The sequence below is a fragment of the Homo sapiens genome, chromosome 5 (genome assembly GCF_000001405.40).
Source record: "Homo sapiens chromosome 5, GRCh38.p14 Primary Assembly".
In the NCBI taxonomy this organism is placed as follows: Eukaryota; Metazoa; Chordata; class Mammalia; order Primates; family Hominidae; genus Homo; species Homo sapiens.
In genome coordinates this window covers 73,131,814-73,156,603 of record NC_000005.10, presented here as the reverse complement: position 1 = coordinate 73,156,603, position 24,790 = coordinate 73,131,814, and the positions used below count along the sequence as shown (strand labels likewise).

The following is a 24,790-nucleotide window of genomic DNA, read 5'->3' as shown; positions in this document are numbered from 1 at the left end:
AATGATGGGACCTACATCATAAGGTTATCAGGATCAAGTGAGATCATACAGAGAACACATAGCGTAGTAAGTTCAGTGACTTTCGGCTATAATTACTTCATCCTGTTCAGTTTCTGGAAACTTTCTCCTTGAGTGCTTGAGTCTATGGTGGGGGTAAAGCACCCAGGCCCTTGTCAGGAGGCCCTGAAGGCAGCCCCGGGAGGCACTGCCTGGGGACTGAGGATGAGCTGCTCCTAGGCCTGAAGGCAAAAGTGAACCTTCTCTGATTCCTAGAGTCAGCTTAAGTCCTGTCACTGCAAAGGAAGACATCTTGGTAAAGCGTGTGTATATAATCCCACAGCCACCATGATCTCCTCCTCAGAGATCATACAACCCGAGGCAGAAAGCACGCATCTCAACACCAAGTCGGCTGAGATGTGGAGAGCGGGGCTGGAAACCCTCAGGGGCATTTGCAGAGTTTTTATTATATTTGTTATTATTGGTTTTTGTGTTTCATTGTTGTTTTTGTTTGTTTTACATGTTCAAAGGAACAGAAATAGTTAAGGCCTGGAATAGAGTCAACATGTGCCTCTGTAAAGTTGAGGTAGGTCGGGAAGTGTGTCACCGGGGGAACATAAAGCAACCCCCGCCCCTGCCCTGGCTCACAGGCCTCACCAGCGGAGCTGCGAGAGGTCTTTCCAGAGCTTGCTGAGAGGCCTGAGTGGAGATGAAGACCCTGTGAGCCAGAAGTGTGGGAGAGAACAGCCTCCTCGCACAGGCCTCTGTCCTCCAAGGGGAGCTGTGCTTTTCTCAGCCTGCTGGCAGTTGCCTGTGGCACTGAGGCACTGAGGGAGGGAAGGCAGAGACCACCCAGTGTGAATTGCTGCTGCCTGAAATGGAAACTGTTCTCCCAGCCATAGGCAGGCAGAGCCAGGAGGGGCTATTCCACAGCTGCTCCCCACCCGCAGCCCATTCCCAGGCTCCACATGGCTCCCTCAGCCTCAATGCCACCAAGAGAGCTGCTCAACCTGCGAGGCACTAGCCCGTCTGCTAACAACCACAGAACGCTCTGGGAGGGATGCGGCTGGGTCTCCTTTGCCTCCTCTGAGCCACAGAGATTGGCCCCCCGGGGACAGGTCTTCCGATTTGGGTTCAATCTCTGGCTGAGGTCTTAAGCAGTTTTTCTATGCTTGATGATATGTGAGTGAGAGCCTGAGAACTCTTCCTGCCTCCTCTTGGAGAATGTCTGCCAGCTCCACATAGGAGGTAAGCTGTTCCAGGAATCGTGCATGTGAATTCGGCTTCATAGTTTTGGCTTCATAGATGGCTTCATAGTTTCAAGATTAAGGGCCAAAGATGAATTCACAACGGTTCTTGCCACCCAGTACTTCATTTATTCCTCTTTAATGTCCTCTATATATTAATCCATTTAGGTCCTTTCATGCAGACCAAAGTTGTCCAACATTGGAGTAATACTTTCTTGTCCCTTTGGTCCCCTCTAAAAAGCCCACCAATAATTTGATTCAAAGTAGAAGAACTTTGGATAACAGAGCGTTCTGCAATACTAAACAAGGTTCATAAAGTGCCACTCTGGAAGGAGTCTTAAAGACCAACAGCCAGCACCACGGATATATTTTTAAATGGTGCTGAGTAAGAAACGTTAGGAAGCAAATGAGGACTATAACATAATGTAATATATGTAAATTTTAAATAAATACACAAAATAATAATCATATCTTATAGAACTACATACCTATTCAAGGATAAATATCTTTCACATTGATGTAGTGGCCTGTTGGGAAGAAAGGAATTAGTGCTGGGAATGGAGAAGGAGGGAGGGAGAGAGGAAGGGAGGAAGGAGGGAAGGAAGGAAGGAAGGAAGGAAGGAAGGAAGGAAGGAAGGAAAGAAGGAAGGGGAAGGGAGGAAGGGAGAGGAAGGGGAACAGGGAAGAAGGGAGGAGAGGAAAGGGAAGAATTTAATAATGATGATAGCAGATTATGTCTTGAAGAATATGGAGTAACTCTAACATAAGTTAAAAAGGAAGCAAGCCCTAAATTAAACCTTTCATTTTACAGATGGAGAAACTGAGGCTCAGAAAGATGAACTGTTTGATGCTGGGATTTTATTGCTGTTCAGAGGCAGAAACCAGGCATTTTGACTTCCAATTCAATGTGCTTTCTACTGCATCAAACTGCTACACGTATACTTATAATGCCTCACTTCCTTCCCTTCTAATGAGTAATTCATCTAAGTATAGTTTTAACTGGAGAGGTTGATCATTGCTGGCCCAATTCATGGTCCCTCTCCCAGAGAAGCCACCCACCCCTACTGAAAGACTGAGGCCTTGTTGGACACCAGGTGACCCGGATCACCTTCTCTTGGCCGATGGGCCTGAGGTGGGAAACTGATTCAAGGGCAGCCCTTCCAGAGACAGGGTGGGGGTCACCAAGCATCCTGGTTTGCCTTGGACTGAGGGGGGTCCCAGGATGCAAAACTCTCTGTGCTGAAACTAGAAAAGTTCTGAGCCACCTGGGACAAGCTGGTCATCCTGGCAGGGAGGGACTTAGGACCTGTAAGGCCAGCTTCAAAAATAGATTCTCAGTGAGAAACAGGGAATCTAGCAGACCGAGACTGTTGGCTGCAATAGAAGTGCCGTGGTGTAGAAAGAGGGCAAGGGGCACTAAGGAGCTTCCATACGGGTCCTATATAAACAAAACTCAAGAGCAGAAACTTCGAGAAGTGGAGGACACTGGTTGACCAAGAGAGGAGAAAAGGGTCTATCTTTGTTTAAAGACAAGCAGATACCTGCCCGCAAGAGAAGGACTCTGCTGCAGAGAGGATAAAACTCTCGCATTGGCCCTTCATTTCAGAGGCACACGGTGGCAAGATGGGGGTGCAGATCTCCAAGAAGAGGAAGTTTGTCACTGATGGCATCCTCAAAGTGGAACTGAAAAAGTTCTCACTCGAGAGCTGGCTGAGGATGGCTACTCTGGAGTTGAGGTCCAAATTACGTCAACCAGAACAGGAATTAATACAGGAGCTTAAAATAAATTATTTAGGCAGATAGTGAGGGTAAGAGAATCCTCGGCAAGACTTCTCTCTTAACAAAAAGCAGCCCCCGAATCATTTATTTTCTAACAAAGAGCAGCCTGTAAAATTGAGCTGCAAACATAGATAAACAAGCTGGAAGCTTGCATGGAGAATGCCAGCAGCTGTGCCAATAGAAAAAGGCTACCCGGGGGTCAGGCATGTTCAACATGGAGGCTCCATCTTCCCTTTTCTTTGTCAACCACATGTACAATAAAGGAACAGGCAACATGGCACAGGCCAGGTAGAGAACCCATCACATAAAAAATAAGGGTGGTATGGCCAGTTTCTTTACAAGCTATGTAAATGACACACCTGGTCCCACCAATCGAAACCGTCTGCTCAAGCTCATCTATAAAACGCTGTGCATTTCACCATGAAACTGAAAAACCTGCTTGGGAGCCCATCTCTGCAGGAGAGAGAGCTTTTTTCTTTCTTTTGCCTATTAAACCTCTGCTCCTAACCTCACTCCTTACGTGTCCACATCCTTGATTTCCTTGGTGTGAGGCAACGAACCTCGGTTACTACTCTAGACAAATGACGCTGCTTCAAAATCATAATCTTAGCCACCAAAACACAGAATGTTCTTGGTGAGAAGGGCTGGCAGATTTGGAAATTGCCTGCTGTAGTTCAGAAGAGGTTTGGCTTCCAGAGGGCAGTGTAGAGCTTTTTGCTGGAAAGGTAGCCACAAGAGGTATGTGTGTGTTTGCCTAGGTGGAGTCTCAGTGTTACCTCCTGGGAGGGCTTGCAGCGCAGAGGGCCTGCTGTGGTGTGCTGTGGTTCATCAGGCGGGGCGTAGGGGGCCACAGGCTTCAAGGCTGTGGTGTCTGAAAACTCTAAATGCAGGAAGTTTGTGGATGACCTGATGATCCTCAGCAGGAACTCTGTTTACCTCATTGACACCGCCATGTGCCAGGTGCTGCTCCAACAGGGTGTGCTGGCCATCAAGGGAAGGTCATGCTGCCCTGGGACCCAGCTGGTAAGACTGACTCTAGGAAGGCCCTGCCTGAGCACATGAGTATCGTGGAACCCAAAGATGAAGTACTGCCCACTACCCCATCTCAGAATAGAAGGGTGGGGAGGAAGCCATAGCTCCTGCCATGCCGCAGCCAACCCCCACAACATGACAGGTTCTCCTTGACAGCTGTGTCTGGCATCTGGATGTTGTCCTGGAAAGGCCTTTAATAAAATCTTGTACAAAGGCACAAAGCCTGACTCGACTGTATGTCCAGTGTTCAGACTGAGGGGCATGTTGGCCTGCAGAGCATTCCTTGACCTCTTGGTTAAGGAATTTGCAGGGCCCAGCACGGGAGGACCCAAGCAGAGCTAACCAGAGGAATGTCCCATGTGAGAGTGAAGGCTGATGGCTAGCAGGGCAGCACCTCAATTAACTGTTCTGTAATTCAGGATTGTAGCTTTAGAAGGGGGATATATTTAGAATGATTTTTCCTATGCCTAAGGAAATACGCATTGCACATAGAAAGTAAATACAATGGCCATTATAGTGTGCGTCATACTGTGCTAAATGTTCTTTGCATTCACAATCATTTACTCCTCAACATCTGGTACGTGGAAAGGAAATGTGCTGCACCACTGAAGCTCAGGCTCAGAAGCAAATTTGCCTGAGCAGTATGGAGCTGGCATTAGAATCCACATTCCTAAGTTCTGCTCTCTTGACCATTCTGTTCTGGAAAACTGTAAGGAACATTTAAATTGTCAACACAATAACAACAAAGCACCTCTTACATCAGTCTTTGGTAGCCCTGAGTGTGGTCTCAGCCTTCCTCCAAGGCTCGCAGGTGCACAGCTTACAACCAACCCCTCTTCTCGGGAGCTACTCTCATTAGCTTTCTGCTCCTTATAACCATGAGTCTGACCAGCATGATTTTTATTTTAGGAAAACTGGCTTTCAGTAGCTCCTTCCTCAAAAACCACTGTGGCCAATTTCAGGTTCTCAAAGAGACTCTTTCCAGATGCTCCTGTTTGCTGTTGCTGCTGCTTCTGCTTTCATTGCCAAGGAGAGGGTTGCAGCAGAAGACGCTCCTCTTCTGTAATAAGCTGGTTCTCTCCACTCAGCCTGAGTACACTCAGGGCTCCAGACACTAAAGAGCAAAACCCTCTCCTCCATCCCCACTCAGATGCCCACTTCTGCAGCCATCACCGTATAGGATCAAACTTCTTGACAAAATTATTTATTCCCCAGGCCTCCATTTCCTCCCTTCCTGTGCAATCCTGAAGGCCCTTCCACCTTCCCACCCCTAGGAAAATACTCTGGCCTTGGTCCCCAGGGCCCACAAAGCGGCCAAACCCAGTGAACTTTTTCCTGCCTTTAACCCCTGACGAAGTTTCTGTAACTTCCCACACCATCGGCCACATGTTCTCCTTGAACTCAGCCCTCTCACCTGCCAAGGTACAAAAGGCCTCACTGCCTCGCCCTCTCCTCAGCCCATTAGACTCTATTTCCCTCCCCTTCACTGGCTCCACCCTCCTCCCTCCCACCTAATAAGGAAACACTTTCTGGATTTTTTGTCCTTCCCACATTATCTCCAAGACCTCGCCTTCCCAAAACCTCATCTGTCCGAGGCTCTGGGTACTGTCCCGGAGTAACAGTGAATTTGAGGTCTGCAGGGAGACACTTTTGCATATGTGTGTGTAGCCTTTTGTAAAGTGCCTGTGTGGATCTGGTTTTCACTGTTTAGCAAACAGGATCACCTGGGCCTTGTTTATCCCATTACTTTGTTATGAGACTTTTAGTTTGGCTGGCAGAATTCAGCCAGAGAATGCCCTGTGCAGGCGCAGAGAAGGATTGCAAAGTGCCAGGGGTGGGTGACTGGTTAACCATTTACTTCCCTCCCAGGGAGGACAGCAGAAAAGAGGCCCCAGCTGCTGCCCACTCCTGCCCACAGCCTTGGTGTTCCTGATCCAGCACGTTGCCATCATCCTCGCCCCAGATACCAGCCAAGGAGGCTGGAAGGCCAACCAAGCTCCAACCACTGGGCGTCCCATCGCAGCGTGGCTTTACTGCTAACGTTGGCATTGCTGTTTGTGCCAGGGGTTCTGTTCAAAACCAAGCTCTTAGAAGAATTTGGAGGAAATTATGACTGCAACCATGTCTTTGTAAGTGTTATCTTCTAAGGAAGAATTTATAGACTTTGGAGTAATCCGTAACAACTCTACATTAAATTTCCCCCTCAATTTTTATTATTATTGTGGAAAGTTGTGGGAAAATGTTGAAAAGTCAGAAATGTTGAAAGTACAATGAAAATCTATATGTCTTCCACCTTCTTCAACAATTTTAATGCTTGCCAGATGAGTTTCATCTCTGCATTTGTGTACATATTTTTGTTGTTATTGAACCATTTAAAAATAAGTTGCCAATAGTATGTTTCATTCCTAAATACTTCAGCATGCATCTCCTAAGAACAGGAAGTTAGATACCTCTATTTAACACCTAAGAAGATTAACACCCATTCTATAATATTATTTAATAGCCAAGCCATATGCAAAATTTCCCAGTCATCCTAAAAATATATTTTATAGCTTTGGTTTTGCCAAATCAGCATCCAACTGAGAATCAGATGTTGCATTTGGTTATTACTTCTCTTTAGTCTATTTAAAACAAATTTTTTTTACTGAAGTAAAACTAACATTCAGTACATGTTAATACATTCATTTTAAGTGCATACTGGATGAGTTAAAAAAAAAATGTGTATGTCCTTATCACTACCACCACAGTCAAAATATTTACAAAGTTCACTCCTTCTCCCTTTGCAGCCTATCTCTCCTCCTCTCACCCCCACAGCCCCGACTCCAGGCAGCCACTGATCTGATTTTTCTATCTATAGGCAGCTTTGCTTGCTCAAGAACTTCATAAATGTGATAATACAGTTTATGATCTTCTGTGGTTTCTTTCGCCGAGTCTGATCTACCTGGGATTCACCTATGTTGTTGAATATGTGAGTGGGTGGCTCCTTTCATTGCTGAGTAGTATGCTAGTGCATGAGTCTACCACCATTTGCCTATCCATTTACCCACTGATGAAGATTTGGATTGTTTCCAGTGTTAGGCCATTCTGATTAAAGTCTTTATGAAAATTTTTGTAAAACTCTTTTTGTAGACATATGTTTTCATTTCTCTGGGGTAAAAATCTGGAGTAGAATTTATGGATCATATAAGTGTATATTTAACTTTATAAGAAACTGCCAAACTGCTTCCAAAATGTTGACAACACTTTGCACTCCTGCCAGCAACATATGAGAGTTCTAGTTTCTCCGCATCCTCACCAATGCTTGATATTATCAATCCTTTACTTTTTGCCATTTTCGTGGGTGTGTAGTAGTATCTCTGTGTGGTCTTAATTTGCATGTCCCTGATAACCAGAGCTGCTGTTTTGTGTGGTTCTTGGCCACGCATATATATATATATATATATATATATATATATATATATATATATTCCTTTTGTAGTATGTCTGTTCAAATATTTTGTCTTTTTAAAAAGTAAGTTTTTGGGTTTTTGTTTGTTTGTTTGTTTTTGAGAGGGAGTTTTATTCTTGTTGCCCAGGCTGGAGTGCAGGGGCACAAATCTCAGCTCACTGCAACTTTCATCTCCTGGGTTCAAGTGATTCTCCTGCCTCAGCCTCCCGAGCAGCTGGGAAGAAAGGCATGCACCACCATGCCTGGCTAATTTTTTTGTGTAATTTTTAGAGAGATGGGGTTTCGCCATATTGGCCAGGCTGGTCTTGAACTCTTGACCTCAGGTGATCCACCCGCCTCAGCCTCCCAAAGTGCTGGGATTACAGGCATGAGCCACCGCGCCAGGTCATAAGTTATCTTTTTGTTATTGAGATTTACATATAAATCCTTTGCCAGATTTATGTATTACGAATATCTTCTGCCGGTCAGTGATGACTTTTCAAGTACCCAGGTGACTTTTCTTTTTATTAATATTGTCTTTTAAAAGCAGAAATTTTGTATCTTGATGAAGCTCAGTTTGTCAATATTTTCTTCATGGTTGGTGCTTTCTGTGTCCTGTCTAAGAAGTCTTTGCTTACCTCAAGGTTACCAAGATATCCTTCTATGTTTTAGTCTAGAAGTTGTGTAGTTTTAGCTTTTGCATTTAGGCCTATAATCCATTTAGAGTTAATTTTTGTATACGGCATCAGATAGGAACTAATGTTTGTTGTTTGTTTTTGTTTTGCTTTGTTTCCCACACATATACCCAGTTGTTCCAGTGCCATTTGTTGAAAAGACTCTATTTTCCCAATTGAACCACCTTGGCCTATTTATTTAAAAAAAAATCAATTGACCATATATATGGGTCTATTTCTGGACTGTATTCTAGTTCATTGATCTGTATGGCTATCCTCTGCCAATATCACAGTGTCTTGATTACTATTGTTTACAGTAGTCTTAAAATCAGTTGTGTAAATCTTCGGAATTGTTATTATTTTCCAAAATAATTTTGGCTCTTCTGGTTCATTCATTCATTTAATACCGATTTAATTTCTTTGAGAAATGTTTTAGAGTTATCAGTACACAGGGTGTGTGTGTGTGTTATTCTAAATATTAATCATATTATTATAAAACATTATTCTCTGGTATTGTAAATAGGATTTTTATTTCATTTTCCAATTGTTTGTACTGATATATAGACATACAATTTATTTATGTATATTGATTTTGTGTTCTGCGTCCTTACTAAATTCACTTTTTGGTTTTAGCAGCTTTTGTGTAAACTCTTTGAGATTTTCTATGGTCACAATCATGTTTTACGTCTTCCTTTCCAACATATGTGCTTTTGTTTCTTTTTTCTTGACTTTTTGTATGGCTAGGATCACAGCAAAATGTTTAACAGAAGTGATGAAAGAAAACTTCCTTTCCCTGGCCCTCATCTTAGAGAAAACATTCAGTCTTTCACCAAAAAATATGACACTAGGTAAAGGTTAGCAGACGCAGAAGCATTTGACAAAATTCAAAATTCATTTGGAATAAAATGCTAAAGGCATCTATATTGTCTCTCTCTCTCTCTCTCTTTTTATTTATTTATTTTTTTGAGACAGAGTCCTGCTCTGTTGCCCAGGCTGGAGAGCAGTGGCGTGATCTCAGCTCACTGCAGCCTCAACTTCCCAACTCAAGCGATTCTCCCACCTCAGCCTCCTAAGTAGCTAGAACTACAGGTGAGCACCACTACAGCCAGTTAGTTTTTCGATTTTTTTTGTAGAGATGGAGGGGGTCTCACTATGTTGCCCAGACTGGTCTTGAACTCCTGGGCTCAAGCAACCCTCCTGCCTCAGCCTCCCAAAGTGCTGGGATTCGAGGTGTGAGTCCCTGCGTCCAGCCTAGATTGCCTTCCTTTAAAGACTGTTGCATTTTGTTTTTGTAGGCAGTTGATTCATTAATGGATTGACCTATTCTTTTTTTTGAGGAAGATCTAGAGTAGCCTTTATTTTAGGTTAGTTTGGTCCTAATCCTGAGATGTGGTCTTTCTGGTACTCTACTCAAAGCCCTTGGTGTCCAATGAGGTCTTTTCACTCTGGTTGTTCAAATTTTAAGCATCTCCCAACTCTGTATAAGCTCCAGAATTTGTTTAGTTCACAGTTCCCTGGCAACCATTCTTTCCCCGGTGGTGCTTTGATCCACCTTGTGGTGCCTCACTCTGCACAAGTGCCGATTGGTATTTAGCCAAAGACTCGAAGGGAACCCTATGATCTGGAAATCTTTTTTTTCGTTTTTTTGAGGCAGAGTCTTGCTCTGCTGCCCTGGTGCAATCTTGGCTCACTGCAACCTCCACCTCCTGGGTTCCAGTGATTCTTGTGCCTCAGCCTCCCAAGCAGCTGGTACTACAGGCACCCACCACCACGCCCAGCTAACTGTTGCATTTTTACTAGAGATGGGGTTTCACCATATTGGCCAGGCTGGTCACGAACTCCTGGGCTCAAACATGCTCCCGCCTCAGCCTCCCAAAGTGCTGGGATTACAGGCATGAGGCACTGCACTCTGCCAACCTGGAATTCTTTCTCTGCGTAGTTTCTTCTTCTAAAGGGTTCTTTCTGCCTTAGTCTCCCCGAACTCCAGTATCTGTGTCTTCAGCTCAGTGAGACTTCTGCATTTTGCTTAGCTTCTCCCTCTCTGTGTTGGAATTCAGCAAATGGCTCTGACAGAACGTCTGGGTGGTTGGAAGGCTCACCTTGTTTGTTTCCTTTCTGTCTTGATTAGAGCCCTGTCCTACCAATTATGTCTGAAACCAGTTATTTGATATATTTACCCAACTTTCTAGTTTTGTATGGCAGGATGGCCAGCCAGTACTAGTTACTATGCCATGGGTGGAAGCAGAAGAGTCATTAATCTCTTCTCATTTAGAGCAGGGGTCAGTTAACTTTTTCTTAAGAGCCAGATAGTAAACACATTAGGTTTTCAGGCAACACTGTTTCTGTTGCAATAGCTCAGCCATGTCAATATAGCACAAAAGCGGCCATAGTCAATACCTAAGTTAGTGAGCATCATTATGTTCAAATGAAACTTTATTTATAAAAACAGGCAACAGACCCGCAGCCCATAGTTCACCAGCCCTTGATCTAGAACAATACTCCAGCCATTTTCCCCCTGTGACATTGACTTTGTCAAGACTCCAAGCCAGTCATCTTACTGAATGCTCCAAATCCTATTTTCTCAAGATATCACATAACATATTCCTTTATCCCTTATATTTTCTATAAAAGGTCGTTGGGTCAAAGGCCTCATGAGAATCAAGCTAAACATTTTTTTCACAGGAATAATCTCTTAGGTGATGTTGAAAATATTAACTTTTGAAAAAGCATCATTAAAGTCAGTGCAACTGAGTTGAGATCATTCCTGAATTCATTCATTCTCCCATCTGTCATCCATCCGCCAAAAACTCATGACACGGTTACCTCTGCCAGGTGTGGTGCTATGAGTGCTCAACAGGATACAGCGATGTGGTCCAACTTGCCCTCAGTGGGGTTGGGGTGGGATTGGTGGGTGACACCGAAGCACAGTGCTAGAAAAGTCAGCATCTCACTCTTTTTCTGGGCCAGGGCCAAAGGGCTTACTTTATCTGGAACACTTGTAACAATGCAGATTCACTAGCCCCTTGGACCACTGGAATAGAATCTCTTGATGAGACACAGAAATCTGTGTTTTAACTGGTTCCACTGATATTAACAGGTCAAAGGACTGTTAATATCCAAAAGGACACCACACTGAAGGCCGGTGTGATGAAACTCAGCTCCTAAGGGGGAAAGCCACCTACCTGGAAGGAGGCTGCATCTTCTTCTGATTTACTATTAGGTGTACCGGAGGTGAACATGCCTCACAGGTCAGCAGTCACCCAGCAGTCACCCACTGCTTTCATTATAAGAGAAAAAGCATCCTGGCCTTGGGAACTGTAGTGATTCTTAAATATGTTCACAAATTCATTGTGACAACTCCCTTCAAAAGGTGAAGGCTAATTCCTCTCCCCTTTGGTGTGGGCCAGACTTAGTGATTCACTTCTAACAAATAGAGTTTAGCAGAAGTGATGGTGTGTGACTGCAAGACCGGATCCTGAAAACCCTTGCAGCATCCCCCTTGCTCTCCCTTCAATCTCTTGCTCTGAGGGGCCCTGGGCATCATGCTGAAAAGACATTCCAGCATGGTCTTTGGGATGTCTGTGGGAGTCCACATGGAAAGAGCTGAGTCCACAGCCAGCATGAACCAGCCAGCCATGTGAGTGACTGTTCTAGTCTGTTCAGGCTGTCCTAACAAAAATACTAGAGACCAGGTGGCTCATAAACAACAGATATTTCTTTCTCATAGTTCTGGAGACTGGGAAGTCCCAGATCAAGGCACCGGCAGATTCAGGGTCTGGAGAGGGCCAACTTCCTGATTCATAGATGGCTGTCTTCTTGCCATGTCCTCCCATGGTGAAAGAGGCAAGGGAGCTCTCTGGGGTCTCTTTTATAAGGACACTAATCTCATTCATGAAGGTTCCACCCTCATGACCTAATCACCTCCAAGGACCTCACCTCCAAATATCATCACATTGTGAATGAAGTTTCATCATATGAATTTAAGGAGGACACAGACATTCAATCTGTAACAGTGACTATCTTGGAAGTGGGCTCTCCAGCCCCAGTCATGCCTTCAGAGGACTGCAGTCCTGGCTGACATCTTGACCACAACCTCACAGAGAGCTACCCAGCTGAACCACTAGAATTGCTGACCCACAGAAACATGCAAGGTAATATATGTGTTTTGCTCTTTGAAGCCCTTCATTTTTGGCCAGTTGGTTATGCAGCAATAGATAACGAATACAGGAACTTTGCACATATTTAGGGCTACTTCTGAGATCACATTGGGGAGCCCTGTCTGTCACTCCATTTGGGGCAGCCAGCTTCAGAACCACATGATATGGAGTTCTGCATGCTTTCCTGTTTGGCACATGTATCTTCTCAACTGGCTCCTGAGCTCACAGTGAAATTCCCGGGCAAATACCTACATCAGGCCTCCAGAGCCAGGAGTTGGGGCATTCACCCCCTGAGTGAACTATGTTTGGAGATGACGCCATTACCTCCCCATCCCCAGCTGCTCTTTTGGGACTTCCGTCTGCATGTAAGGCAGCTGGGCAGCCCTGCTTCTGGCTGGGAACAACTTTTCTGGGTGTAGAGCCAGCAGCACATGTGGGTATCAAAGCTGCAACCTTTGTTTCGTTAATGTCACAATCTAACAAAACCAGCTGACTGGCCAAGATTTTGAAAAATAATAAAATGATGGTTTAGTGCCAAAACATTCCAGCCGATGCAATAGGGCCTACGAAGAAAAGTTAAAATGTAAGGGATCACCAAAACTTTTTGTTTAGAGTGAGTTTGGGGGTGAGGGAGCAAAGCACAGTATTGAGATATTTACTTGTTGGTTTGGTTTTGTGTTTTGTATCTCTCTGACAGGTAGGCGAAAAGTGACTTTTCTTACATCAAAAAATATTTAGGTTAATTTTTTAAAAAATTAGACTACAATCTAGTAAATAATAGGCAAAGAATATAAATAGTTCACAAAAAAGAAGATTCAAAACACTTTTAACATTTAAAAAGATGCTCAATCTCACTCATAGAGAAATGTAAATTACGGCTGTCCTCAAATCCAACCTCTCACCTATCAGATCAGCCAAAATGCAGAAGTCAAATTTAGATGACACTTTCCATTGACGAAGCTATAAGGAAATAGACATATTTATATGTTGCTAATAAGTGCAAAATGGCACAGCCCTTATGGAGGAGAATTTGGCAATATCTAACAGAATTACACATGCATTTATGTTTTAAAGTAGCAATGACACTTTTAGGAGTTTGCACTGCAGACACACCTTCACAAATCAAAAGGAACATAAGCACAAGATGATTCATTCTGACATTGTTTGTAACATTGAAAGATTAGAAACAATCGAGATGCCCATCATTAGAGGACTAGTTGAAGAAACTATGGTACAGTCACACAATGGGGCACTGTCCAGCCATACCAAAAAAGTGAGAAGCCTCGCTATATATGGAGTGATTGCCAGGAGATACAACTAAATGAGAAAAGCAAGGTGCAGGGCCGCATATATTAGTGTGTGTGCATGTGTGTGTGTGTGTGGTGTATGTATTGCAAAAAGAGACTGGAAGGTAGAACAGGGTAGATGAGACAGGGATAGGATTGAGACTTCTCTACATACACTTTTTAATACAGGATATGTTGTATGTGTTCAAAAATAAAATTAAATTAAAAAACAAAATTAGCCTTAATGTTGAATATAAACATGAATAAATGACCCTAATGATATATCAAATTGGTAATATGAAAACAAAGAAAAAATTATTTAAATGAGTTTAATATACTATTCTAACTTCACATACATAGATATGTTTGAAGGATAAAAATCTTCAAAAAATCTTGTTACTTAACTCTAGTTTTATTGTTATTAACAATATTGAATTGTAATTTTGAAACTTTTTTATATTATACAATAAATCAAGGTAAATGTGTAATAAATAGGTAAATGTGATAGTTCATTTTATGCAGCAACTGGATTGTGTTAACAGAAACCAAGATTTTCAGAGTAAGAAAAAAGAAACAAAAATATAAAATCAAAGTGATAGGGTTTGGATCTGTGTCCCCACCCAATCTCATGTCGAATTACAACCCCCAGTGTTGGAAGTGGGGCCTGGTGGGAGGCGATTCGATCATGGGGGTGGATCCTTCATGAATGGTTTAGCACTATCCCCTTGGTGCTGCCTCGTGATAGAGTTCTCATGAGACCTGGTTGTTTAAAGGTGTGTAGCGCCTCCCCTCTCCTCCCGGCCCACTTCTCGGTCCTGCTCCTGCCATGTAAGACACCTGCTCCCACTTTGCCTTCTGCCATGAGTAAAAGTTACCTGAGGCCTCCCCAAAAGCAGACGCTGCCATGCATCCTGTACAGCCTGTGGAACCCTGAGCCAATTAAACCCCTTTTCCTTATAAATTAACCAGTCTCGGGTATTTCTTTTATAGCAGTGTGAGAACAGACTAATACACAGAGTTAAGAAAAAAAGTGTTAAGTTAAATTTAAATTGGAAATGTTAATGTCAATTTATGGTTTTAAAAAAATCTCTTAGCTCTTGAAAGTGCTGGAAATGACACTTCAGTAGCAATAAGCAAACTTCAACTCCAAATCTTGGTTTCTAAATATATTTTCCACAGAAGGATTCAGGGCTAGAGAAATGGCTTTTCCAGGTATGGGGCAGGGAAACAAAGTGAGCCTAGGGTAGCTTACTCTCTGGGGTACATGTCAAAAATACAGAAGAACCACCACAAAGGATTGACCAAATTTGGAATTATTTGAACATAAAAGAAAACATTGATTTAATTGAAATTCATGACTTTATATGAGTTTATAGGGACAGGAGAGAGAGAGGAAAAAAAAAAAAACCAGGGAGAGAGAGTCTCATTTGCCATTACTGTAGAGATTTTCACACCAACTCCTTGCTCTGTGCTATGGATTGAATTGTGTACCACTCCCTGCTACCCCCTAAATTCATAGGTTGAAGCCTTAACCCCCAAGGTGATGTAAAAATATTTGGAGACAAGACCTTTCCAAAGGTAACTAAGATTAAGACAGCTTATAAAGCCCTAAAGCAAAAAGACAAGTGTCCTTATAAGAAGAAGAGACACGAAGAGTGTGGACCCACAGAGGTAAGGCCATGTGAGGGCACAGCAAGAAGGTGGCCATCTGCAAGCCAAGGAAAGAGGCCTCACCAGAAACCAACCCTGCCACTTCCTTGATCTTGGACTTCCAGTCCCCACAACTGTGAGAAAATAAATTTCTGTTTAAGCCACCCAGTGTGTGGTATTTTCTTATGCCAGCCCTAGCAGACTAATACACTCTGAAAATTGGTATTTAAAGGTAAAAAAGAAATTCTTATCCTGGCTTTTTAGGAACACCTGTAGTCCATCCTGGTTGATGCATGAATGCTTGCCCTTCTTTACAGAGGCCTGTGATGACATCATTGAATCAGACAGGCAAGGGTCATTAGTGGATGCTAGAGCCATTAGCAAAAGGTTTGCTGGGGAACAAACAGGGATTCGCACTGTGCCAAAATATTACCCCAAGATTCAGCAGCCACCACCTTAGAGTTCACACTTTGCACCCCTAAATGTGAGCAACCTCCCATTAAGGGCCTTCTGATATGAGGAAGTCTGAAACATACAGCTTTTCCTCTAAAGTATTTTTGTTTAAATGTTTAACAATAGTCTACATGAGCTTTTAGGTCTAACTTCTAGTTCTAGTTTCCAGGGATACAGGGAACAGAGAACCATGTCAACCAACTCTCTGAGGAGACTAGAATGCAAGACATTATACCACTGGCTGGTCAGTGAAATGAAAATAAAAATGGACTGAAGCGGTAGTCTGTATTAATGAAATAAAACTGACTTAAGAAAAATGATTGGAGGCCAGGTGCAGTGGCTCACACCTGTAATTCCAGCACTTAGGTCAGGAGTTCGATACCAGCCTGGCCAACATGGCAAAACCCCGTTTCTACTAAAAATACAGGAAAATTAGCCAGGCGTGGTAGTGTGCACCTGTAATTCTAGCTACTCGGGAGGCTGAGGCACGAGAATTGCTTGAACCCAGGAAGCAGAGGCTGCAGTGAGCTAAGATCACGCCATAGCACTCCAGCCTAGGTGGAATGAGACTCTGTCTCAAAAGATAAATAAATAAAAATTTTAAAAATTATAAAATGATTGGAATATGGTAGCTGGGGATGGTGGCAGGCACCTGTAATCCCAGCTACTTGGGAGGCTGAGGTGAGAGGATCACTTGAACCCGGGAGGTGGAGGCTGCAGTGAGCCGAGACTGTGCCACTGTACTCCAGCCCGGGTGACAGAGCGAGACTCCAAATAAAAAGTAAATAAATAATATGGATTGCATATTAGATAATAATAGTGTATCAATGTTAAATTTCCTGAATTTGATACTTGGATCATGGTACTGTTGCCTTTTAAAAAGAACATCCTTATTTTTAGGAGATAAATCCTGAAGTATTTTGGGATACAGAATTGTAATGTTGACAGTTTACTCTCAAATGATTCAATATTAAGACAATAATATTGCATTAGTCAGGGTTCTCCTGAGAAACAAAACCAATACGGGACAGAGAGAGAGGGAGTGTGTGTGTGTGTGTGTGTGTGTTTGTGTGTGTGTGTCACAGAGAGAGAGATTTATTATGGAAATTGACTCGTAATTATGGAGGCTGAGAAGTCCCACAATATACTGTCTGCAAGCTGGAGAAACAGCAAAGCTGGTTGTGTAATTTCAGCCTAAGTCAGGAAACAGGAGAACAGGTGGAGGGAGGGGACCTGTAAGTCCTGGAGTCCAAACTCCCAAGCACAAGGAACTCTGGTGTGTGAGGGCAGGTAAAGATGAATGTCTCAGCTGAAGAAGAGAGAGCAGATTCACCTAGCTTCTGCTGTTTTGTTCTATTAGGGCCCTCAATGAATTGGATGAGGGTGGATCTTCTTTGGATTCGCTCTCACCCAGTGGATTCAAATGTTAACCTCTTCCGGAATCCAATATACACCCAGGAATAATGCTTTTAAAGTTTTCATTTTTTTTAAGTTTTTTATTTTTTGCTTCTTTATTGATTTATGTTTATTGAGAAGTTTTCACTATGTTGCCCAGATTGGCCTCCAACTCTGGGGCTCAAGCAATTCTCCTGCTTCAGCCTTTGGAGTAACTAGGATTCCAGGCACACGCCACAGAATTAATGTTACCAGCTATCTGGACATCCCTTGCCCCAGTCAAACTGACACATACAATTAACCATCACAAATATGTGTAGGGATAGATACATATTATATATTGTAATATATATTTTATATATACACACATTCAAAATAAATACAACTGAAACAATAAAAACTTTCAGACAAAAATACAAAACTTAATTTTAGCATTTTTTTCCTCATAGCAAAAAATTGGAAACAACATAGACACTTAACAGCAGGGAACTTGTGGAAAAAGTACACTCGCTTGTCAAGGATCTTTTAATCTTTTAATTTTTTTTTTTTGAGACAGAGTCTTGTGTTTTCTCCCAGGCTGGAGTGTGGTAGGCACAACCTCTGCCTCCCAAGTTCAAGTGATTCTCGTGCCTCAGCCTCCTGAGTAACTGGGATTACAGGCGCACACCACCACGCCCAGCTAATTTTTGTATTTTTAGTAGAAACGGGGTTTCACCATGTTGGCCAGGCTAGTCTTGAACTCCCAACCTCAGGTGATCCACCTGCCTCAGCCTCCCAGAGTGCTGGGATTATAGGCATGAGCCACCATGCCCAGCTCTTTTAATCTTTTAATATTACAAATAATAATAATAAATTTCTCAGTAGCATGCCATGCTGTTTGATAGCACTTATCTACTTCATGATCTGGCTGGCAGCCAGTCTCTATAATCTCCAGCGTTTGCTGGGGAGGTGTTCCTGGCCAGAGCTGCACCCCACCAGCCTGCCTAGGGCTCCAGCCCCTCCCCTGCTGTACCTGGGCTCAAGACCCAGCCCCACCTAGGCTCCTCACTATGTCTCTGTAGATTGCCCAGCTAAGACTAATTCCAGGGGCATTGGGCAGCACCATTCTGTGGTTCTTCTTACACACACACACACACACCCCTAACCACAGGCCATTCTGTCCATCCCAACTCCCTGCAGAAGAGGCTACATGCTGTGACCACCCTCTGCCCGGCTCTTCCGTGCTGCTCCCGCCAATTACCAGTGCTAAGGGAATTTCCAACTGAAGTAGCAAGTGTTGAAGTGATTTTTCTTCCCAGGTTGGGGAACCAAAATTGCCTGCCCAATAGCAAAGAGCACGCCGCTCTGGTGCATGCTATGGCCTTACACTGAACTTGAAGTTTCCTTTTGAAACTTTGACAGACACTTTGCCCTCTCTAATCTCATCCCACTTCCACCTGGCAAGGTTCCAGAGGGAAAGGTTTCCAAAGCCAGGAGCCTAGGGAAAGGAGTGGAGGAGACCCTTATAGGAGCTGGACTGGAATTTTAGTGTCTTTCTAGAGCTGAAAGGCACCCTAGAAATGGGCGAGGATGGGAGAGGGGCAGTTGCCTGCCCACAGCCACATATAATGGTGCTAAGATCCTTTCCCGGTGCACAGCTGTGACGGACACAGGCCTTGGCATCAGGCAGACCTCGGCACAGGTTCTGGCTCTGCCAGAGTCTACCTGCAGGACTTGTAATAACATGTTACCTTTCCCAGATCAGCAGGGATGAGTCCATGAGATACTGCAGGGAAGTTGCTTAGAGAGGCCTGGCCCCTGTAAGACCTGTGCTTCCGTCCTCACCTGCAGGCTCCTAGGGGTAAACTCCAGCTTGACAGAAAAGGCTGAGACAGCAGCAGGGTAGGCTCCCAGCAACTCTACTGCCTGGAGGACCAGTGATATAGGAGTTAAAAAGGAATTATTTAGGCAGATAGTGAAGGTAAGGAAGCCCTTGGTAAGGTTTTCCTTTTGATGAAAAGCAGCCCCCAAAATCATTTTGTTTTCTAACAAAGACCAGCCTGTAAAATCCAGCTGCAGATATAGACAAGGAAGCTGGAAGCTTGGACAGGCAAATGCTGACAGTTGTGCCAATAGGAAAATGCTACCTGGGAACAGGCATGTTCAAAATGGCGGCTCTATTTGCCGTTTTCTTCTCTTTGCCAGCCATGTATACAGTAAGGAGCTGAAAAGATGGTGCTAGCAGAGTAGAAAGTCCATTTGCATAATAAGATTGGGGGGAAAACCAGCCTTCCCCCACACACCATGTAAACATCACACCTGATCGAACCAATCTGTGGGCCCTATGTAAATCAGATGCCGCCTCCTCAAGCCTGCCTACAAAGTCTGGCGCAGTCCACCGAAGGCTGGCTTTTCCCTTTCGGACACCTCTCTCTCGAAAGAGAGCTACTCTCCTTTCTCCTTCCTTCTGCCTATTAAACTTTCTGCTCCTTAGCCCATTCATGTGTCCGTCTGTTTAATCTTCTTGGCGCAAGATGAGGAACCCCAGGTTTTTACCCAAAACAATTACGCTGCTTCGCCAGGAGAAAGGAACAGAGTTTCAGAGCCTACATAAAGGAATCTTGGAGGCAGTGTAACACCTATGGGTCTGAGGAAAGGCAGGTGCACCACCAGCCGCATCTGGAGGGGGGGTCTAGGACACTAGGCAGACAGAGAAATGGCTGCTTCCTGGGTGGGATCTGGTCCCCTAGGAAGACTTTGAGTTTGAGGAAGAGCCTCAGCCCCTGCAGAGGCTCTCCAAGCCTCTCCATCCAGCTGGGTTCTGACCACTCAGTCCTATCTTCCCAGGAAAAGAGACAGTCCTCCTGCTTCGTGAAAACCCCTTATAAATTAGTTATTTGGCCTACCTGGTACCAGCAGGCAGGATTCACTTGCTATTCAAAAGCCTTTAAGGAAATGTCCTGGGAGTGGCTTGGCTCAGGACAGCTGCGGAGTTTCCTCCCCCGCGACCTACTCACTCACCCACCCTGCCCAACTTCCAGCCCCTTGCGGCTCTGAGCAGCTTTGGGAGAGAACACACGGTGTTTAAGTGGCTGCCCACTGCCCTCATGAGCCTGCTGCCTGCCCGGCCTGTCCCCTTGGGGAGGGAGGGGATATGTCACACTACACTTCTGGCCTCACCTCAGCCAATATCTCCCCGGGGAGGTCGCCGGGCAGGGGCAGACAGCATTTTCAAGCAGTCACATGCCATACCGAGCAGGGGTCTCCCCCCACCAAGCATTCCTTAGGGAGGAAAAGCTGCATCCCAGTTGTCCACTTGGTTCCTCTTGGGGTGCTCGTGCTGGCGGCAGCATGCATGAGACTCCAGGAATCCCAAGTATGCAAGATCCCGGGAGGGCTTATGGCCTGCAGCCGAAGCCAAAGCCAGAAGACCATGCATGGTTCCCCTTCAACAGTCCAGGACGTTTCTCCCCTCAGGCCCACCACCCCCACAGTGTGCTTCCTGACTACCCTCTCTCTGGGAGAAGCTCCTACATCAGGGGCCCATGGAGCAGGGTTTTCTGCACCCAGGGAGCAGCCAGCAGAAGCCAGCCCACCGTCCTAACCCGGGAAAGTCACCCACCCTGATTCACCAGGGGTTGGGGGCACTGAGGGCCAGGACAGTTTTCACACTACTCCTCACTTGAAGTCTCCAGTATTTTCCATTTTGACCCAAATATCATTTTCCTCCATCTCTGCCTGTTGTGATAAACATCATCTGGTGCTCCCACGGAGCACAGTCTTGGCCTCTTCCAAGATGAAGAAGCAAAGATAAAAACCACACCTTCCTTAATAAATGAGTCCAAGATCCCCCGTCTGGAGATAGAGGGGTACTGCACACTTGTGAGAGGAACAGGAGGGTGATGAGCCCCTGGCTTTGTTTCCCACGCCCTTGTGGGTGTCTCACCAACAGAGCTTCCTGGGACACTGGGACAGAGAGACTGTAGGAAGCCCCCATGAGCACTGGCGGCTGGGGGCTGAGTGTGAACCCACACCCCTCCCCATGAGAACCCCTAGCACAGGCTGGGACATGTACACAGGACTCCCCAGAAGGCCAAGAAGCGACAAGAGAGGTCATAATCCCAGATTATCTAGCCCACAGGGTATGACCTCTGCAGTTTATCTTGTCACCATAGGCAGCATTTCCCAGATTCCCAGATGGTAAACATTATCTCCTGGGGTGGAGGAGGTGGTAGATTTATTGGGCAGGGGAATTTGACATTTTCAACAATTACTCTAGGTGGTTCTCATCTTCCTGGAATTTAGGAAACACTGCAGGAATTTCCACCACTTGACAGGGGCCCCACCTGAGCTCTGCATATGCTCTCAGGAAAGATCCTGGCTGATCGGCCGAACTGCCAGGTATCTCTTCCATGACCTAAGGCCAGTTCTGAGGTCTAATTCCCAGTTCCTGTCTCTGGACCCACTCCTTTCCTAAGACCTACCCTGGAATGATGGCCCCTTCGGGAAAGACCCACTGCCCACATTGCCTCAGTGCTCAACACAGCACCCATATCAGAAAACCAATGGCCACATCCACATGACTGGGGCAGGGGGCAGGCACCATAACTCTTCCTATCCCCACGTGAAACTCTCAGGTAGAAACTGGGTGAATATTGCCTGCCCCTCAGCTTTCATCCTCTGGTGGCAAGGGTGGGTCGTCCCACCTGAATTTGTAGACCTCATCACTATTGTATCTAAAGTGGGGCTATCAGACCTCCCAAAGCCATAGGAGGAAAATTTGGAGCAAGATTTGTAAGATTCTGTGTGCTGATGATAATGTCTGGTATTCTAAACCAAGTAACACACATGAAGAGATACTCAATATCATTGGCCATTGGAGAAATACAATTCAATGAAAAACTGCTTCATATCAAGTAGGATAGCTATACTTTTTTAAAAATAGAAAACAAGTGTTGGTGAGGAAATGGAAAAATTAGACCCCTCAACACATTGCTGGTAGAAACGTAAAATGGTGGAAAACAGGCTGGTGGTTCTTCCAAAACTTAAAGTTAACATGTGATCCGGCAATTCTGCTGCTAGGTGTATACCCTAAAGAATTGAAAACAGGTACTCCAACAAATACTTGCACATGTACGTTCATAGCAGCATCATTCACAATGGTCAAAAGGTAGACACAACCTAGATGTCCACCCATGGATGAATGGATAAACAAAGTGTGGTATATTCACACAATGGAGTAGTACTTGGCCATAAAAAATGAAGTACTGATATATGTTACAACATGCTAAATGAAAACATGCTAAATGAAAGACATCAGACACAAAAGGTCACATATTTATGATTCCACTTATATGAAATACCCAGAATAGGTAAACACATACAGACAGAAAGCAGACTGGTGTTTTCCAGGAGCTGAGGCATAGAGGAGGAGAAGGAGGGGCTGCTTAATGTGTGTGGGGTTTTATTTTAGGGTGATGAAAATGATTTGGAATTAGATAGAGGTGGTGGTTTGTATAACACTGTGAACGTATTAAAGGCCACTGAATTGTTCACTTTAAAATGGTTAATTGTAGGCTGGGCACAATGACTCACCCACTGAATATGGCAAAGGACTGATAGAAATGAAATAGACTTCCATAACCTGCAATCCCAACAGTTTGGGAGGCCAAGGCAGGAGGACTGCTTGAACCCTGGGAGTTGGAGACCAGCCTGGGTAGTATAGTAAAATCCCATCTCTATGAAAAATTTAAAAAATTAGCTGGGTGTGGTGGCACTCGCCTGTACTCCCAGCTACTCAGGAGGCTGAAGTAGGAAGATGGCTTGAGCCCAGAGTTAGAGGCTGCAGTGAGCTGTGATCGCATCACTGTATTCCAGCCTGGGCAACAAAGTGAGACCCAGTCTCGAAATACATACATACATACAAACATAAATTGTTCATTGTATTATGCAAATTTTACCTCAATAAAAAAGCTAACAAACCTAAGAAAAACAAGGCACAGTCCACCGAGGGGGCTTTCAGAAGCTGTCATCCTCTGCCAGCACCGTGCTAGGAAAAGAACGCGTCTTGCTGGGGGTAAATGATTTGGCCCAGCTCTGCTGCATGTGATTTCAGCCCCACAATAAACATTCTCACACTTTCAGCATTTTCAAAGCTGGGAGGTTTGAAGACTTCAGCTTCAGTCTCAGGTTTGCTGAATACTGTGAAGGACTGATGGAACCGGAGTAGATTCCATAACCAGAAGATCAAACTTATTCCTGAGCCTGGCAACCCCCTTGCTGAAGTTTACTAGCATAGCATATAAATGTAAAATACCCAGTTACAAACCCCAACACTGAGCCATTAAAAAGGTTCTTGATTAATATGAGGACTCATAAATGCTTAAAAGTAATTCTACCTAGAAGTTTCAGCTCAGGCATTTTAAACAGCGGCAGAAGGAAGTTTTGTTCTAATTTTTAAATGTGAATAATTAACCTCCCAGGAGGAAAAATAGCAGAATTTTAAGAGCAGTTCAAGCCAATAAATGTCCAATTTAAAAATAGATTAGTACTGCTGGTACCAACTGCCACCCTGACTTATCTCAGTGGCAATTAACATGAAATCAGTCATTACTTCAGTCAAACTGTTGGAGCCTGCACGCCCCTTTGCTCTGCTTTCAGGCACTTAAATGCTGGAATGAACCAATTTGGGGGAGATTATGGCTTGTGTAAAAGGCATTAAAAAATTCACATTTTTGCTACACTAAATGTTGTTACCAAAAAAGCTGTTACTACAGATTTCGTATTCTAAAAATCAGTTTCTTCCAGTTGGAAATACCATTAGTCATTATTTCTTAAGGTTTAGATCTAGCATTAAATAAATACATATTAACACACCCAACTATACAACAGGCTTTGGCTAGCAGTATCCTTATAAGAATAAAAAAGCAATGGTTCAGTCAGTTTTGTTCTAATATGTCATCATACAGAAAGGCAAATCCTTCCTGAGCCTCTTGAGGAGAACCTAGTTGCCAAAGTGTTCCTAGAAATTTCCTGTCAAGAAATTTCACTATAAAGAGACTCCAGGGTATGAACATGCTTGTGACTGCCCCAGCATAAAGCCTCCCTAATCGTCTTCTTTCAAAAGCAAAGAAAAGAAAAGGGGAGTAAGAAGAGGAGAAAAGAGGAGGGGAGAGAAAGAGAGAAGGGAAGAAGAGAAGAAATAATAAAGAAATGAAGGGAGTAATCTTGTTTCTCTGTTTCAGAAGCAGCTAACCCTGGAGAGAGAATGGACCAAGCTAAACATTAACCATTGCTGCTGGTAGGCCTCTGACAGCACAAGGTGGTGAGCCTGTCTTTCAGAAACCAGCTAGCTGGGTTCAAAACCAAGCCCATCATGTAGAAGCTATGTGACCTTGAAGAAGTTAATTAGACTCTCTGAACCTTTGGTTCTTTATCCACCAATAAAAATAATCTCACCTACCACCCAGGGTTGTAGGTCCAAGTGTATAATGTACAAATGAATAAATTAAGACAGTCTCACTCCTGTTGTCATTCCCTTGTCATTGAAAAGACATTGAGTACAAATGGATAGATGCTATCCAAAGAGGACACGTTCAGTGCCTGGACCATGGGCACTTTGCCCCTCTCCATGGTCTGAAGCACTAATGGCTGGAATCTAACCTGGAAGGTTGGTTACCCTTGTTGATGCTGTAGCAGGAAAGTCAGAATATAG

General features: G+C 44.2%; 1 long non-coding RNA gene and 1 pseudogene across 1 annotated transcript, besides 2 other annotated features; both read left to right on the top strand.

Moving 5' to 3' along the window:
• Nucleotides 354-854: an enhancer, noted in NCBI's record as "H3K4me1 hESC enhancer chr5:72451577-72452077 (GRCh37/hg19 assembly coordinates)". NCBI's record gives its function as "activates a minimal SCP1, AML or CMV promoter by ChIP-STARR-seq in primed H9 embryonic stem cells {active_cell/tissue: H9 hESC(primed)}" and the evidence as "EXISTENCE:reporter gene assay evidence [ECO:0000049][PMID:30033119]".
• Nucleotides 855-1,355: an enhancer, noted in NCBI's record as "H3K4me1 hESC enhancer chr5:72451076-72451576 (GRCh37/hg19 assembly coordinates)". NCBI's record gives its function as "activates a minimal SCP1, AML or CMV promoter by ChIP-STARR-seq in primed H9 embryonic stem cells {active_cell/tissue: H9 hESC(primed)}" and the evidence as "EXISTENCE:reporter gene assay evidence [ECO:0000049][PMID:30033119]".
• On the top strand, nucleotides 2,868-4,194 carry LOC101060067 (40S ribosomal protein S3-like; annotated as a pseudogene).
• Nucleotides 4,195-6,011: 1,817 nt separating this feature from the next.
• LOC105379030 (uncharacterized) lies at nucleotides 6,012-24,596 on the top strand. Its single transcript, NR_134252.1, has 2 exons — nucleotides 6,012-6,184; nucleotides 24,321-24,596. It is a non-coding gene; the product is annotated as an uncharacterized LOC105379030 (long non-coding RNA).
• The last annotated feature ends 194 nt before the right edge of the window (nucleotides 24,597-24,790 follow it).